General features: G+C 38.3%; 1 pseudogene; it reads left to right on the top strand.

Annotated features, from left to right (window-relative positions):
* Positions 1-4,554: 4,554 nt before the first annotated feature.
* LOC124900523 (uncharacterized) lies at positions 4,555-4,709 on the top strand (annotated as a pseudogene).
* Positions 4,710-18,413: the final 13,704 nt, after the last annotated feature.

Below are 18,413 nucleotides of genomic sequence, written 5' to 3'. Positions count from 1 at the left end.
GTATGCTACCGATACTTCAGACTGGATCATTCTTGGTGGTGGGGCTGTCCTGTGTATTTTTAGGATGTTTAGCTGCATCCTGGCCTCTACCCAACAGATACTTGTATCACCCTGTCCCCTTACTTCTAGTTGAAACAATCAAAAATATCCCCAGAAATTGCCAAATGTCCCCTGGGGGAGAATTGCTTCTGGTTGAGAACTGCTGTCATAGAGCTGGTTTGAAGGAGACTCCTAGGATACTGTGTTTTCCATATGTCAATAACTTTATAGGACATTTAACACCTATCAAGAAACAAAATTTAATATAACATTTCTCTGTTCTCCACTAATTTGTGTTGTAATTCAAGTCAGAATTCCTATAAATGTTTGAAAGAAAAACTGATGAATTCCAGTGTTTCCCCAGTTATTTCTGCAGGATGGTTGTAAGATATATACATGAGATGAATAAATAACTTAATAACCAAACCCAAAAGGATGATTTTTTTTTTGCTTTTTCCTTCAGCCTATTGTTTTTTGAGTCCAGCTTCTGTTTAACATCTTATAAGTTGTATCTTAATTATGTTGATACCCAAAGAGATGAACAAGTTCTAGCAGTGTGGATTTGTTTTTCTCAAAGCAAAATGATTCCCGCCATTGATAAAAGTCACCAAAATCCTTAATCAATGTTGCTTCATGAATCTCTTAGTAATAACAATTTTTTTTCATGCATGCCTGAGTAAAATACTTAATTTTGTATTAGTGGAAATACATTATTGTTGCAGGTTCTATGTTTTCATATGTGAAATGGGCTCATGTGGTTAAAGCACTTTCTTTTTAATGATTGCATTCATTAATATCAGAATAAGATTGCCTGCCATACCTCTTAACATTGAAAACACAAGACATTATCAGTTAAGTAAATTAAATTCTTATAATAAAGATAGTTTTATCAATCTACTAAAAACTGTTGTGTTAAAAAAAAGATCTAGTATGTGCATGTTGCTTTTCTGTGTAACCTATTAGCTACACTCTGAATGTCAGCAACTCTGAAATTCCAGTCAAACTTTATAGACTTAGTCTATTGATAATTGATAATTGATCCAATCCTTATACCAGCTCATTTCTAGCGCTCTCAAACTTAGACTAATCAGAATGGCTATTATTAAGAAAACAGCAAATGCTAGTGACGTTACAGAGAAAAGGTAATGCTTATATAACGCTGGTAGAAGTGTAAATTAATTCAGCCATTGTGGAAAGCAGTGTGGTGATTCCTCAAAGAACTTAAAATGTAATTATCATTCGACCCAACAATCCTATTATTGTGTATATATCCAAAGTAATAATCTAAATTGTTCTACCATAAAGACACATGCTCACACATGTGAATTGAAGCACTATTCAGAATAGCAAAGACATGGAATCAAGCTAAATGCCCCTCAACAGTACACTAGATAAAAAATGTGGTACAGATACACCGTGGAATACCATGCAGCCATAAACAAGAACAAGCATGTTCTTTGCCACAACAAAGATGAAGCTGGAGGCCATTATCCTCAGCAAACTAATGCAGGAACAGAAAATGAAATATCACATGTTCTCATTTATAAGTGAGAGCTCAACAGTAAAAACACATGAACACTAAGAGGGGAACAACAGGCAAACTCATGACCCATAACTTACCTATATAACAAACTGGAACATGTACCCCTGAACCTAAAATAGAAATTTAAAAAATAAAGTTAATACATTAGAGAAAATTAAATCATGTACAAAGATATGTTTGGAAGCTGGAAGTCGAGGGCAACATACTGTCGTGCTTTAGATTGGAAAGGTGCATTTTCATGATTTAGAATGGAAGAGCATGTCTCCAGGTTTTAGAATGAAAGGGTGTGTTGCTATACTTTAGAATGGAAGAGTGCATCACCATGACTTAGAATGCGAGGATGCATTTCTACCCTTAACCATTTATCTGCTATTCCTCCCTTTCACTCAAACCCTGAATTCAAATCCAATCTCCTGAGTTTTCGAGTCATGTGATATATTTTATAAGTTATGTCATATCAAGAAGTAAAATTTAAGACCCAGAATAAGACATAATTTTATACAATGTCACAAAAAGGAAATACAGATTCTTGTTTAGAACATATGCTATATAAAACCTACATGGAGGCAGCCTTGACAAAGGTGAAAGGAGGGGGATTTAGCATGAGGCAAGCTGGGCTTGAGTTCTGTCTCTGCCAGGAGCTCTGGGGATGAATTATTTGACTTTTGTGACTTGGAAATATATTTTTCCAGAATTAATATTACTTTATTAATAGCAACATTAATAGCGTAGTGATATATTTATTGCCACAAACAAGAGCTGACCTAGGAGACCAAAATAAAACTGAATTTAGTTATTACAAGTCCTTCATAAGCAAGTGGTTTAGACACGAAAAGAGCAAGAGTAAATATTAAGCCTTATGAAACTTCTTACAGATCCTTCCTGGTAAAATCAGTAACAACCTTGAATCCGTGGTCAGATGGAACTGCATCAGTTTGACAGCACATTGAGCACATGGGTGAGTGCTCAAGCATGTGTATCAGAGTTAATAACACTAGTTTTCATGTGGGAAGGAAAGTACATTTTAAACAGGTAACAGACAAACTGTGGGAAGAGGAGAGAGAATGGCTCCCACTATCGCGTTCGTAAGTAGAGGTTAACAGGTTCCTATCTGTTACTATTAACTCTGCTACACATGCTTGAACACTCACCATGTGCTCAATGTGCTGTCAAACCTTCAATCCACTTAATGCACATCCCCACTCTGGAATATGTGTACCATTGTCTGCTTTTGACAGATAGGAAAAGGAGGCCCAGACAGGTGTTCCTCCTCTATGTCATGACTCATACGTGGATTGAAACAAGTTTTTGACTGTAAAATCCTGGCTATTTTCATTTCATTCTGCTGCTTCTTTCAAAAATCCAAACAAATATTATCGCTTCCAAGTCGTTCATGATAACATTCCTCTTCTAGATTCACAAAAGACTCAAAGCATCTCTGTTGTGTTCATGTGACAACTTGTTTTGACCATCTCTATAGATCTCTCCTTGTCCTACTCACAGATCCATGAGAAACGGGCTGTCGTGTATTTAAATGTCAATCCTCAGTGACAAGCAAAACACTGCTAAAACCAGGAATTTGAAAATACCGAATGCTTGAATCGGTATATAAATAGAAATAATAGAATACAAAGTTGAATTAGAGAATGGGCTCTGGCTTACAGTTTGAACAATTTCAAGGACAAAGTTGTGCTCTTCCTTCACTTAAAGACACACATATACATGCACGCCTGCATATATAGCATAATCAGTACAAGTTCCTTTTGTAAGGCAATGAGCTCTTGATCTTACAAAAAGAATGTGTGCTGATTATGTAATTTAATAATATGTTAGAGACATTTGGTAGGTTAAAGATGTTGAAAAATCAGACAGGGCCTGTATTAGTTCTCTGCTTCCTTGAGTAGCTTTAATTAAGCCCTGTACATGTTGCTCTTGTTCTTAATAAGAGCCCCTCTTATTCTCTTCTTTCTGTGTTTTGAATTCTGTTCTAGACGAAGGAACTTAATTCTACCTGAAACTTCCAGCTCCAGCAGGTGAATCAGTGTCTTTAAAGCAGGGCTTATCTTGTGGTTTTTATTATTCCTCTTGCCCAACACACACCGTTGCAATGTGAACAGTGCCTACCTGCTTACTCACAGGTGAATATTCTCCTCCACGTGCAGAACTAAATCACACAATTTATCACACTGTTTAAGCACACTAACTTGTGCATATCTCTTCAGATTTTTCTTTCTGATGCCCAGAAATGTCAATTAGAGAGCTTCAGGTACATTGTCTCAGAACCAGTCTTCAGTAATCATCCCTCTAAAGTCAGAATTTGAAACCATTGTGGGTCAGATTTGCAAATAGCTGTGCCACTATGAGTTAGTTTGTTACAATTAGTACTTCAAGTGCAAACTGTTAGCATGCTGAACATCCTTCAAGGAGATCATTTACTCTGTAAATGCATCAGTCTAATTTAATCGAATGTCAACGTGAGATAAAGAATGCTGTATCCGGGGGCTCTGGGTTTGCATTGAAAATTCTATTTGTATCTAACCCTTACGACACTGATTTGCATAGTGTAAAAAAAAAACAGATTCCCTCTCTTTGTTTTCTCTTTTGAAATAAGTAAGGTTATAAAGACTTCAATAATATGGATTTTTTTTTCTACTCTGTAATGCTTTTCTATAAGTATTTCATTGTGGCATTTCAGAATTATCTTGTGAAAGAGAAGAAACTCTGGCTTTTATTGTAAGTAATGTTCTGACAATTATCACTAGTGTAAAAGTACTTTCTAAGAATTTGCCTACATCCCCCTCAAGGGCAATTTTCTGGCTCCTTAATGCATTAATGTTAATATTAGTGGTAATCCAAGAGCCTCTCCTACTTCCATTTCTTTAGAAAGTCTAGAGGCCCCCATACGGGCAATCTTTTCTTTTGTCACTTAGACTCTCTGTGTTTAAAGGTACCCTTTAAAAACTGGGATTGGCCTGCATCCACTGATAGACCTTGGACAGTTTGCTGTTTTTTTTTGTTTGTTTGTTTGTTTGTTTGTTTTTGTTTGCTCTGGGGATGCAAAAGAGGGAAATCCCTGCACTTCCTCTCTGTCTTTGTGGCAGCCGGGATTGAATTGGGGAATGCATCTGCAGAAAAAAAGAAAAAAAAAAAGCAGGGTTGGCAACTCCACCTCGACATGACTTTCAACATGAAGTCCAGCAAACTTGCACACATGTGGAGATAGATGGAGGGAACAGAGCAGTGTCACACACATGCATGTAACAGAAGCACTCCCTGACTTCGCAGGGAGCAAGAGTCTGTGCTCCAACATGAAATGAATCAGGACGCCAGCGATGTCGGCCTCTGCCAGTTGGCGAACGGCTGTCTTCCCATCGGAAGCTTCTGATTCCTGCCCTACAAAATGGAAAGATTCAACCAGGGACCAGTTGACCCATGTTAAAGATACTGCTGGCAGACTCAGGGTTGATATATACTTTTGGTTAAACAAGCAGAAGATAATATAGTTTTGAGTGTGCAGATTTTTTTTTTTAAACAACACTCTATGTGGAAAGCACTTACTGAATTAGGAAGCATCGTCCATTTTCACTTTTAAATACATAACTGCATTGTCTATATAAGATTGGCCATATTTAGTCATCAATGATGTATTTACAGTGGCGTGATTCATTCGTTTTTACAAATGAATTTTACAGAGTGGAGAGCTTGCTAAAATAAATCAAATAAAATAAAGAAGCAGTTGAGCTGCAAAAAAAAGTTAGGATAAGTTTGATACACCAAGTGAATACTACTAGTTTCCACACCAGGACCAAAGATTTGGGTCACAGGTCACAGATTAAACTGTAAATATCTCAGAAATTAAGGGAAAGAGAGGCAAATAACTATATAATGTATCAATGCAAATCCCTCAGTTTCTCACTTTATAGCTCACTAGATAAACATGTTCACATAAGTAATTTTAATAATCCTTACAGTATGTTTTTTACATTTATTCAATCCTCACCTACGCCAATGCTTAATGCAGTGCCTAAAAACCAAGGACTATAAAACCAGATCATGAAAATTTACCCTGAAGAGTATTTAGAATTGTAAAGAATTGTAATATTAAACTATTCAATTTGAACTACCTTTTTTTCCAGATATGAAGATTAAACCTTAAAGAGAAGTTGCAATTTGCCCCAGGTAGGAATCTTGAGTCATCTTAAATTTATGGGCATATTTTACTCTCCAAAAGACTCAGGTAAAACACCAGGAATTTGTTTCAAAATAACATGAATATTACAGAAATATTCTCACATATAGATGCACCATTAAATACAACTAGGAAGGAAAAGAAAGGATCTTAAAACACACTCGTCTCTAGATTGCCCATTTATAGTCAGGCCTCAGAGATGCTGCAGGTTCTGTTTTAGATCTCCACACAAAAATAAATAGTACAATAAAGGCAGTGACACATTTTTGTTTGTTTGTTTCTCAGAGCATACAAACTTACGTTTACACAATACTTTGTCTAAGTGTGCAGTAGCATTATGTATAATGGAAGGTGCATGTTTTACTTCTAAAAATACTTCATTGTTAAAAAATACTGACGATCATCTCAGCCTTCAGCAAGTTGTAATCATTTTGCTGGTGCAGAGTCTTGCTTTAGTGGTAGTGGTGGCAGCTGACTGATGATCATAGTGGTGGTTGCTGACAGTTGAAGTAGCTGTGGCAATATCTAAAAGTAAGACAACAGTGAAGTTTGCTGCATTGACTGACTTATTTTTTTCAAAAGATTTCTCTGTAGCATACAATGCTGTTTGATAGACACATAACCAACAGTAGAATGTCTCTCAAAATTGGAGACAATCCTCTCAAATGCTGCTACTGCTTTATCAATTAAGTTTGGTAATATTCTCAATCATTTGCTGTTATTTCAACAATATTCACAGCATCTTCACCAGGAGTAGTTTTCTTCCAAATAAGCCACTTTCTTTGCTCATGCATAAGAAGCAACTTCTCATCCCAAGTTTTGTTCTAAGATCACAGCAATTCATTCCCATTTTCAGGCTTCACTTCCAATTCTATTTCTCTTGCTATTTCCATCATATCTTCAGCTACTTTCTCTACGGAAGTCTTGAACCCCTCAAAGTCATCCATGAGGGATGAAATCATGTTCTTCCAAACTCCTGTTAGTGTTGATGTGTTGACATCTTCCCATGAATCACAAATGTTCTTAGTGGCATGGAGTCTAGTGAATCCCTTCCAGAAGGGTTTCAATTTACTTTGCCTACATCCATCAGATAAATCACTATCAGTGGCAGTGATGGTCTTATGAAATGTATCTCTTAAGGAATAAGACTTGAAAGCAAAAATTAATTATGATACATAGACTGCAGAATGGGTGTTTTGTTAGCAAGTATGAAAACAGTATTAATCTCCTTGTACATCTTCATCAGAGCTCTTGGGTAACCAGGTGCATTGTCAATAACCAGTAATATTTGAAAGAAATGTTTGAGCATTAGGTATCAACAGTGGGCTTAAAATATTCAATAAACCATGCTGTAAATAGATGTGTTGTCATCCAGGCTTTACGTTTCCATTTACAGAGCACAGGCGGACTAGATCTAGCATAATTCTTAAGGGCCTTAGAATTTTCAGAATGGTAAATGAGTATTGGCTTCAACTTAAAGTCACTAGAAGCATTAACCACTAACAAGAAAGGCAGCCTGTCCTTTGAAGCTAGGTATTGACTCCTCCTCTTAGCTATGAAAGTCCTAGATGGCATCTTCTTCCAATAGAAGGCTGTTTTGTCTACACTGAAAATCTGTTGTTTAAGATAGTGCCCTTCATCAAGGATCTTAGCTCGATCCTTTGGATAATTTGCTACAGCTTCTTCATCAGCACTTGCTACTTCATCTTCTATTTTTATGTTATGAAAATGGCTTTTTCCCTTAAACCTCATGAACCAGCCTCTGCAAGCTTCAAACATTTCTTCTGCCGCTTCCTCACCTCTCTAAGACTTCACAGAGTTAAGCAAAATCAGGGCCTTGCTCTGGATTAGGCTTTGGCTTAGAGAATGGCGTGGCTGCTTTGGTCTTCTGTCCAGATCACTCAAACACTTTCCATATCAGCAGCAAGGCTGTTTCCTTTCTTATTATTCATGTGTTCACTGGAGTAGCACATTGACTTTCCTTCAACAACTTTGTGTGTACATTCCCAAGTTGGCTAACCTGGTGCAAGAGGCCTAGCACTTGGTCTGCCTTGGCTTTCAACGTGCTCTCCTAACTAAGCTTGATCATTTTCAGCTTTTGATTTAAAGTGAGAGACATGTAACTCTTTGTCTCACTTGAACAGTGATAGGGTTATTAATTGGCCTAATTTAAATATTGCAGTGTCTCAGGGAATAGGGAGGCCCAAGAAGAGGAAGAGAAATGGGGGAATGACAAGTTGGCGAAGCAGTCAGAACTGACACAGCATTGACTGATTAAGTTAACCATTTTATACAGGCAGATTTTGTGGTGCCCAAAAACAATTGCAATAGTAACGTCAAAGGTCACTGATTCTGATCACAGATCATTATAATGACATAATAATAATGAAAATGTTTGGAATATTTCTGGAATTACCAAAATGTGACACACAGACACAGTGTGAACACATGCTGTTAGAAGTGTGAAGCTGATAGACTTATCTGACGCAGGGTTGTGACAAAACTTTCATTTAAAAAAAAAACACACACTATGTGCAAAGCACAGTAAAATGAGTTGTGCCTGTACTTACCTACAAACAGCAAGCTGCCCTTTCTTCCCCCTTTATCCCATGCTGTGGTTCTCCACTGACATCAGCATCCATGCAACTTCCGTCATCTCATACATAATGCAGGATAATTTTGGCAGGCACTGATTGGCCATCCAAGAGCCATTTGGGGGAATGCTCAGGAGAAGCTGTGCATCACAGTGGGATGATTTAAGCAGTATTCATAGGCCTGCCTCGCCTTTCTTGTTATTTTCTCCTGGACTTCCCTAGTATTTACAATTTCTATTAGTAGATAAGCCCCTTTGTCTATGATTTATCCACTAGGCTATGTCAAAATGGACAGTGCTAGAGTCAATGTAGAGAGCTGTCTTGGAGTCTAGTACATGAAATACTTCAGTGAATTTTCGAACATGGACAACCAATAAGTGATTGAAATGCAGACAGATCCTTGAAAATTAGGTAAGAGTACAGTTGTGTTTTAGAGACCTAGAGGAGAGAACTAAACCTTCTGAGATATGGGTCTGATCACAGGAGAATGGACTCAAAGTGAAGGATAAAAGCAAAAGGCATGGGATGGGGACAGTGGAGTGAGAAAAACAAAACTAAAAACAAAGCTGGTGTTACCAGATATGGGGAATCCCTGAAAACAAATATCCACTTTTGACTGTGTCAAGGACTATTCCAGGCACAGATATTTGTGACCAGTGCATTCAATTTCAACTTGGAAATTCTGCATAAAGGCCTACTACACAGGTGCTAACTCATAAATTCAGAAGTTACAGATAATGGGACCACATACAACCTGAAACACTTGATGGTGGGCCCCCAGGTTTGTCCCAGCTGTCGTGGCAGAGCCTAGAGAAAGCCAGCTTCTACTCCCCCACCCTCCAACACTGGACACCTTCATTATACATGGGCCACTCTTCTGTGGGCAGGAATAGAAAGACCTAAACCAGACATGGAAATTCAAACTATTCACAGCATCCACTAACTTTTTCATTCATTCAAGAAATCGTTGTTGAGTGCATACTTTGGGCCAGGTCCTGCTTTAAGCACAGAGCATCAGATAGTAAACAAAAGTGAAAAAACAGATTCTGTGGTGTCTGACTAGCCACTACAGGCAAGGTGCATGCAAGGAAAGATGTATCAATACTGCCCCAGAGAAGCACCTGGTCTAGTGGACAATAACATGCATGTGCATGAATAAGCATATTGGGAAGTAACACACACTCTAAGGCATTTGAGTGTCCCTGAAAGACAGGCAGGAAAGGGTGGGAGGAAGATATTCTGTTTGCAAGTGACAGCGGATATTCCGTGCTGGAGGGAGCATGGGAGCTGGACCTTGATGACGTGAAGAGTACACATGTGGGAAGTAGAGTCACAGCTTCCCATATGGAGAAATTTGTCTATGCCGCATCAGAAGGGTAGAAAAGAAGAGAGACGTACTGGAGAAGACAAATTCATAGATGATCAGAACTTAAGAAGCGGGAACAAAAACAATGGGAAGTGGATTTGGGTCAGACTGTGCCCAGTCTGAAGTCTCAGCTTCAGGATCAACAGAAGGTCTGATGGGAGAAGGGTAGGCAGATTTTTGTTTTTGAGAATAATGAGTTTTGCAAATAGATAACCAAATATAATTAGTATAATTTCATAAAATTGAAAGTCAATAGGGCTTAAAGGGATAAATATAAAGTGGCCTTTGTGCTTAAATCCAGTAATATTGTCATTTTGTCGTGTTATTATTTTATTTTGACAATTATTCAGCAACCACTAACTCACTGACCTCCCTTTCATCCTCAGATAGTAAAGATCTAAAGTTTATCTGTACTTTAATCTGAATGATCTGAAATCCCAAGATGCTAATTTTTTAAAACAGATGATATATAAAAATACACATCTCTTTTATTTAGGAAAAATAAAGGCAGAAAACAACCAAAGATATTATGTGCCAAGGAAGGGGCCTGACAGTTCCCTGATGTGTGGGTTGTGATGTTCATTTGTCAAGTCCACCTTTCATTCAACAGGAAAACACACCCAAACATATGTGATTGACTTCCGTATGTGTGCAAGACCTAAATTATATTAATTACACTACTTATATTAATCTTGCTTCTTCTAAATTGCTATTGATTAATAAACCACATAGTTGCACTTCTAACTAATTTTCTAACCAATCTCCCTGTAAATTAAACACAAAATACACACACACACACACACACAAACACACATACATTTTTTCGAGAACCAAGAAACCACTGATTAGTAGTATGAACACTTTAATAGAGTGCTGTTTTAAAAAATGTAAAAGAAACTTAAAACCATACTTATTTAAATAAATTCTGCAAGCCACTTTAAGCTGTGGAAATTTAAGGTTGTCAATATATTGAATCCTAATTAAGCATTAGAAGTACAAGTATATTGGCAAAACATTACACATGTAAAACTAATCTCTTGGATTTTACATTTATGCCCAAGAACAAATATGGTTCCTGAAATGTGCTACTAAAACCACAAAGCGCCTGTTTTTATGAATTCAAATTGCTTCGTATCATTGTTAGAGGAAGTGACTTAGACTCATGTCCCTTTGACATTTACAAGGCCCATGACTGGACAGAATTCAGCAAGAGCTCCTTATTCCTCAAATCCCCACGGTTTCATTACCAACTCCTCAGATCATTTTGAAGACAGTGCTCACTGAGAACAGGCCAGAGGGGCCAGAGAGGGAGAAGATGCATGTGATTATAAAAAGAGAATAATGGGAGAATGAGTGAATCAAAAGTGCTCTTGAAGATGGTAAATAATCCACTCACAGCCAGTTAATCTGAGCTTATTCAAGTAGTATGCTGGAAAATACTACAGTATGCATTGATCAGTCTCCTGTCTAAAATATTTTTTTCAGTAACATTTGTGATGGTTTACTTAGGAATCTAATTATAAAGAGAGACCTCAATAGTTTAATGATAAACTGTACATTATTTAAAAAAAAACAAGTGTTGAAAATAAAAACCTCAAAAATCCTGCCAAAATTAAACATTTGGTTTAGCAAAATATTGACTACATGTGATCATCATATACAGATTTAGCCATCATGTCCTATGTTGCTAAATCTTCTCTCAGTTTTCAAGCTGATTTCAAAAAAAGATTGAAATAGTATTTTGTTCTAATAATAAATAGATTGATAAAATAATTGTTTTTGTGCGACAGTACTGTTGTCTTCTCTTTTATTGTTAAGTTCTGGTTGTTTTTAAAATGCAGCATACTGTCATGCAATTAGAAAACACATTCATACATGAGTGAAATATTTTTAAATTATTCTTGCCATTTTAAACATTTGATACCAGTCTTAGTTTGGACTGCTATAAAAAAAATGCCACAGTCTGGGTGGCTTAAACAATGCACATATATTTCTCACAATTCTAGAGACCTGGAAGTCTAAGACCAAAGCACCTGCGGATTCAGTGTCTGGTGAGGGCCTACTTCCTGGTTCATAGGCGGCCGACATCTCCTTGTATCCTTACATGGCAGAAAGGGGTCAAGAAAGTTCTCTGGGATCTCTTTTATAAGGGCCCTAATACCATCTGTTAGGGTTCCACCCTTATGACCTAACCATCTCCTGAACGCCCCACCTTCTAGTACCATCACACTGGGGGTTAGGATTTCAGCATATGAATAAGGCGGGTGAGCATGAACATTTATTGCAATGCCATGGACAACTTCATTATGTAAACAAAATATATGGATGTTATTTTACTACACATAACTTAAATGTACTCAAAACACTTAGTATGTTCTATATTGTCAACTACTCTACTTGAATGGTGAAAGAGAACCATATTCTTCAAAATGATAACACTTTAATGTAGCTCACTTCAAAGAAAAAATATTTTGTTCAAAATATGTTCTAAAAAGTTAAGAAACAAAAAATGTAGTCTTATGTTGATATCATTGGCAGAATTTCTAACCAAAAGATTATTTAAGTCAGTGAAAATTGTCAAAGTTAGAGAATAATTTTTTTTTTTTTTATGGAGGGAGTTTCTTTGGTGTTTCTAAGTCAGAATATAGTTTTACTGCTTAAATAATAGGGTTTTTGCTGGGTCCAGTGGTTCATGCCTGTAATCTCAGCACTTTGGTAGCCCAAGGCAGGTGGACTGCTTGAGTGAAGAAGTTCAAACTCAGCCTGGGAAACATATTGACTAAAAAAAAAAAAAAAAAGCTGGGCTTGGCGGCACGTACCTGTAGTCCCAGCTACTTGGGAGGCTGAGGTAGGAGGATGCTTGAGCCCTGGAGGTCAAAGCTTCAGTGAGCCATGATTTTGCCACTGCACTCCAACCTGAACAACAGAGCAAGACAGTGTCTCAAAAAATAAGGGGGGTTTCCAAAAGTAAAGACATTAAGCATAATTTTTTTCTGATTTGGGCAAACATGGAATGGCATAGCTTTAGGAGAGGATGTCAGTGGGCAGTCATATCCAGGCTGGGTAATGGCAAGCAAGGGAATGGACCAGGAGCACCATGACAAAGAGGTTCACTTCTAGGCTTGGAGCAGATATTAAGAATCCAAGCACAAAGTAAAGTTTGCAAATTTGCATGGGTCATGAAGTATGTATGAAGAACAGGCACAAGAGAGGAACTTCAGACAAATAAAGAAGTAAAGACCCTACAGAAAGAACCACTCACAGATTTACAGCAAGAGAAGTAAATCTCTAGTACTAACCCTACACCAAGTCATGACAGAGACGATCTGTGATTTTCTGCCCACACCTTTTGTATTTATTCTCCAGTAGTATCAACATCCCCAGGGTTTCCTAATAAATCAGGCAGTTTCAGACGTCTTTGCCACTGTACATTTTCCTTGTGTTGCATGTGCATTCCTCCATGCTCCGTGTAGCCAGAGCATCCATTCAACAGTCTGGATGGGAACTCTCAAAGCCTAGGGGCAGCTTAAGGGCTTGTGTAAGTAATCGAGTCCTGAACCATGTTCTCCATCCAAAATTTTACATGAAAAATTGCAAGATTATAATTGACACACACTATGTCTACAACATATATAACATGGCTGGGCTCTTTGCCTCCACCCAAATCTCACCTTGAATTATAATAATCTAATCCCCACGTGTTGTAGGAGGGAACCGGTGGGACGTAATTTGTTCGTGGGGGTGGGTCTTTCCCATGCTGTTCTCATGACAGTGAATAAGTCTCACGAGATCCGATGGGTTTATAAAGGGGAGATCCCCTGCATATGCTCTCTTGCCTGCCGCCATGTAAGATGTGACTTGCTCCTCCTTGCCTTCCATGATTGTGAGGTCTCCCCAGTCATGTGGAACTGTGAGTCAGTCAAACCTCTTTCCTTTATAATTACCCAGTCTCAGTTATGTCTTTATTACCAGCATGAGAACAGACTAATACAATATACATTATGTCAATTTCATTATCTAATATGTTTATAAGTCTTAATTTCTAAATATTTCATTATATTCATAACCAATTCATATGCTGTATGTCCTTAGTTTCATACTTGCTTAGCCAATTTTCCATAATGATTTCTGAGAAAGCACAGCTGACCATAACTAATATCTCAAAAGAAAAATTATACAATTCCTTTAAAACTTAAAGCAAAACAAATAATTGTATGTAGATATGTAGATATGGATTCCCTGAGTGCATTTTATAAAATCTGTGCATTGGTTAGTTAGAGTTAGGGTATGGGGAGTAGTCTAAACAGAGGCCTTGAGGATTTGTAAACAGCCTTGCTCCCCTTGGGAGCCTGGTTAACAACTCATTATTGAACACTGTTTAGGTGTCAACTCTTCTGAAAAGCCTTTCCTAATCCCCTCAGACAGTCACTCTTTTCACTTGATTTCTCCTGTATCTGCCACATTCTGCTGTAATTATTACACTGTGCTTCCCCTCCCAGATTATGGCTTCTTGGCATTAGTATCTACATTTTTTTCTTTCTTTTACTCCCAGAACCTGTCCAAAATCCTAAAAAACACATAGGGCTTAGTAAATACTTGTTGAATTGAATTAAATTTAGACAAAACTACCAACACCAAAACAAGAATTAAAAAACTAAAAGGAAAGACAAGACAGCATTTCAATACTTAAAAAATTTAGCAACAAGACCAAAGCATAGTTGGAGGTTTGTTTCTTGGCCAGAGAATTTTGCCATCTTTTTTTCCTAGCTAGAGAACTTTTGCCAAGTGCCTAAGTTAAAAAAAAAAATCAATGAGCCCTTATTCCTCAACCAACTTGTAATGAGAGCTTACTCTTTATAATGGCCTATCCTATCTAGTGGGGACAGAGGAGGAAGTAAAATTCCTCAGAAAGTTTATAGCCAGTAGTGAAAATCTAATGAAAATATAAACCTTAATATTTGACAAATAGTACAGTAATGAAATATTCACAACAGTTTGGGAGAAGAGTTTCTAAGAAAAGGCTCAAGGTAACTCAAGGCAAGTGAAATTTGCACTGTATATTGAAGAATAAATAGAACTCCACTGACTTGGAACAGAGGCAGACAAGGCAGAAAAATATATAAGCAAAGGTAGAATGAAGTGGGAATTTCCAAATCGTCTCGTATGACTGAAAGGAAGGAGAGCTAGCCACCACAGGAGATGAAAGCAGATGCATGGTTGGCCCCCATTGATAGGGTTTTCTTGCTAAGCTTGTATTTCATACTATAGCAAACCATCAAATGTCTCATTTTTGCATACAGATACATGTGTACTTGTACGAGTACTTACAAAGATGTAGCTCTCATATGGGAACATAAATTAAACTAAACAGTAACTTATCTAATAGACACATAAATATGGGTGGTTAAAGAGGGTGAATTTTGAAGCCAGTTCACTTGAATTCAAATTCTGGCTCTTCCCCTTAATAAATGAATAATCTTGAACATGTTACTTCATCATTTTATGCCTTGGTTTACTAATATGAGTGAATGGGATGGTAGTAATGACCTCAGTAAAATATTGTGTTAAGTCATGTAAAATCCCTGGAAGAGGACCTGGCAAAAGTATTCAATCAGTTGTATTCATGGTCTTTCTGTAAAGCATGTGAGCACCTCAGAGCAGGAATTGTTTCTTGCACTCACGTTTCCATCTTTCACATAAACAAGCAATTTTAGGCTCCCCTGTTCTCATGGGTTTTGCGTCTAAAGATTCAGCCAATCACAGATGAAAAATGTTCTGAAGAAAAGGACGGTTGCATCAATACTGAACATGTTTAGATTTTTGTTATGTCATTATTCCTTAAACAGTACAGTGTAACAACTATTTACATAGAACTTACACTGTATTTATTATAATGTAATCTAGAGATTAATTAAAATATAGTAGAGGATATGCATAGATTATGTAGAAATGCCATATTATTTTATATCAGGGACTTGAGCATCTGCTGATTTTAGCATCCACTGGGGTCATGCAACCAATCCTTCACTGATAGCAAGGGAAGATTGTATAGGAATTTAGCCAATATATGTTAAGAATCTGATAGAGGAAAATACTAAAAATGTCTAGATAAACTTACTTTTTGGGGGCAATTAATCTGTCCACTTCTTGCATCTTAAATCTTTTTATTAAAGCTGTGCAAAACCATTTTGCATTCCACATGATGGCAGGTCTCCCCTGGGTCTGCATTTGGCCACTCTCTAGTTCCTCAGTTTGTAGTGTTTGAGGTAATTCACTATTTCCCTGAGACCTACTCGTTTACTCTGCTAAGTTCTGCAACCATTTTCAGTGCAGTTCCATCATGTATCAGCATTTTCTCTCCCTATTCTTACTCTGCAAGTGCATTGGGTTAAAGAACATGTTATGTCTGCATCCCAAAACCTAGCATAACGCTCTGCACAACTATGTGCAAAGTTAGCAAAGTAACTGCTAACTGTTAGTAGAGTCACAAGCATGTTCAAAGCTAGCAGAGTAACTAAACAGTCTCAAGAAATAGTGAATAACCTCAGACATTACAAAACGAAGACCTAGAGAGTGACCAAATGCAGAGCCAGGGGAGACACTACTGTCATATGGAATGGAGACATGGAGAACATGCTTGATATGGTTTGGCTCTTGCCCTCATCAAAATCTCATCTTGAATTATACTCTCATAATTTCCATGTATTGTTGGAGGGACCTGGTGGGAGGTAATTGAATTATGGGGGCAGGTCTTTCCTGTGCTGTTTTGTGATAGTGAATAAGCCTCACAAGATCTGATGGTTTTATAAGGGGGAGTTTCCATGCACAAGCTCTCTCTTTTGCCTGCCACCATCCACACAAGATGTGACTTGCTCCTCCTTGCCTTCCACCATGATTGTGAGGCCTCCCTAGACATGAGGATTAAGTCCATTAAGCCTCTTTCTCTTGTAAATTGCCCAGTCTGGGATATGTCTTTATTAGCAGCATGAAAACAGAGTAATACAGTAAATTGGTACCAGTAGAGTGGGGCACTGCTGAAAAGATACCCGAAAATGTGGAAGTGACTTTGGAACCGGGTAACAGGCAGAGGTTGAAACAGTTTGGAGGGCTCAGCAGAAGATAGAAAAATGTGGGAAAGTTTGGAACTCCCTAGAGACTTGTTGGCTGGCTTCAACTAAAATACTGATAATGATATGAACAATGAAATCCAGGCTGCAGTGGTCTCAGATGGAGATGAGGAACTTGTTAGGAACTGGAGTGAAGGTGCGCTTCTTGCTATGTTTCAGCAAAGAGACTGGAGGCATTTTGCCCCTTTCCTGGAGATTTGTGGAACTTTGAACTTAAGAGAGATGATTTAGGGTATCTGGTGGAAGAAATTTCTAAGCAGCAAAGCATTCAAGAATGCTGTTAAAGACATTCAGTGTTATAAGGGAATCAGAGCATAAAAGTTTAGAAAATTTGCAGCCTGACAATGTGACAGAAAAGAACATCCCATTTTCTGTGGAGAAATTCAAGCTCACTGCAGAAATTTGCATAAGTAATGAGGAGCTGAATGTTAATCCTCAAGACAATGGGGAAAATGTCTCCAGGCCATGTCAGAGGCCTTCATGGCAGCCCCTCCCATCACAGGCCTGGAGGCCTAGGAGGAAAAAATGGTTTTATGGGCCAGGCCCAGGGCCCCCTTGCTCTGTGCAGCCAGGGACTTAAAGCCCTGCATCCCAGCCATTTCAGCCATGGCTAAAAGGAGCCAAGGTATAGCTTGGGCTTTTGCTTCAGAAGGATACAAGCCCCAAGCCTTGACAGCTTCCACATGGTGTTGAGCCTGCAGGTATACAGAAGTCAGGAATAAAGGTTTGGGAACCTCTGCCTAGATTTCAGAGGATGTATGGAAATGCCTGGATGCCCAGGCAAAAGTTTGCTGCAAGAGTGGGGCCCTCACGGAGAACCTCTGCTAGGGCAGTACAGAAGGGAAATGTGGGGTTGGAGCCCCCAAGCAGAGTCTCTACTGGGGCACTGCTTGGTGAAACTGTGAGAAGAGGGCCACTGTCCTCCAGACCCTGGAATGTTAGATACACAGACATCTTGCACCATGTTCCTGGAAAAGTCATAGACACTCTACGGCAGGCCATGAAAGCAGCCAGGAGGGGGGCTATCCCCTGCAAAGCTACAGAGGCAGAGCTGCCCAAGACCATGGGAACCCACCTCTTGCATCAGTGTGACATGGATGTAAGATATGGAGTCAAAAGAGATGATTTTGGAGCTTTAAGATTACATGCCCTGCTGGATTTTGGAATTGCATGGAGCCTGTAGCCACTTTGTTTTGGCCAATTTCCACTTTGTTTGGCCATTTCGAATGGCTGTATTTATTCAATGCTTGTGCCTACCCCCATTGTATCTAGGAAGTAACTAACTTGCTTTTGATTTTACAGGCTTATAGGTGGAAAGGGCTTGCCTTGTCTCAAATGAGACTTTGGACTGTGGACTTTTGAGTTAATGCTGAAATGAGTTAAGACTTTGGGAGGCTGTTGGAAAGGCATGATTGATTTTGAAGTGTGAGGACATGAGATTTGACAGGGGCCAGGAGTAGAATGATATGGTTTGGCTCTGTGTCTTCACCCAAATCTCATCTTGAATTGTACTCACATAATTCCCACATGTTGTGGGAGTGACCCATTGGGAGGT

This window comes from Homo sapiens, chromosome 2 (genome assembly GCF_000001405.40).
Source record: "Homo sapiens chromosome 2, GRCh38.p14 Primary Assembly".
NCBI classification, from domain to species: Eukaryota; Metazoa; Chordata; class Mammalia; order Primates; family Hominidae; genus Homo; species Homo sapiens.
Note: the sequence above shows the minus strand (reverse complement) of the source record. Positions and strands in the feature narration are given on the sequence as shown.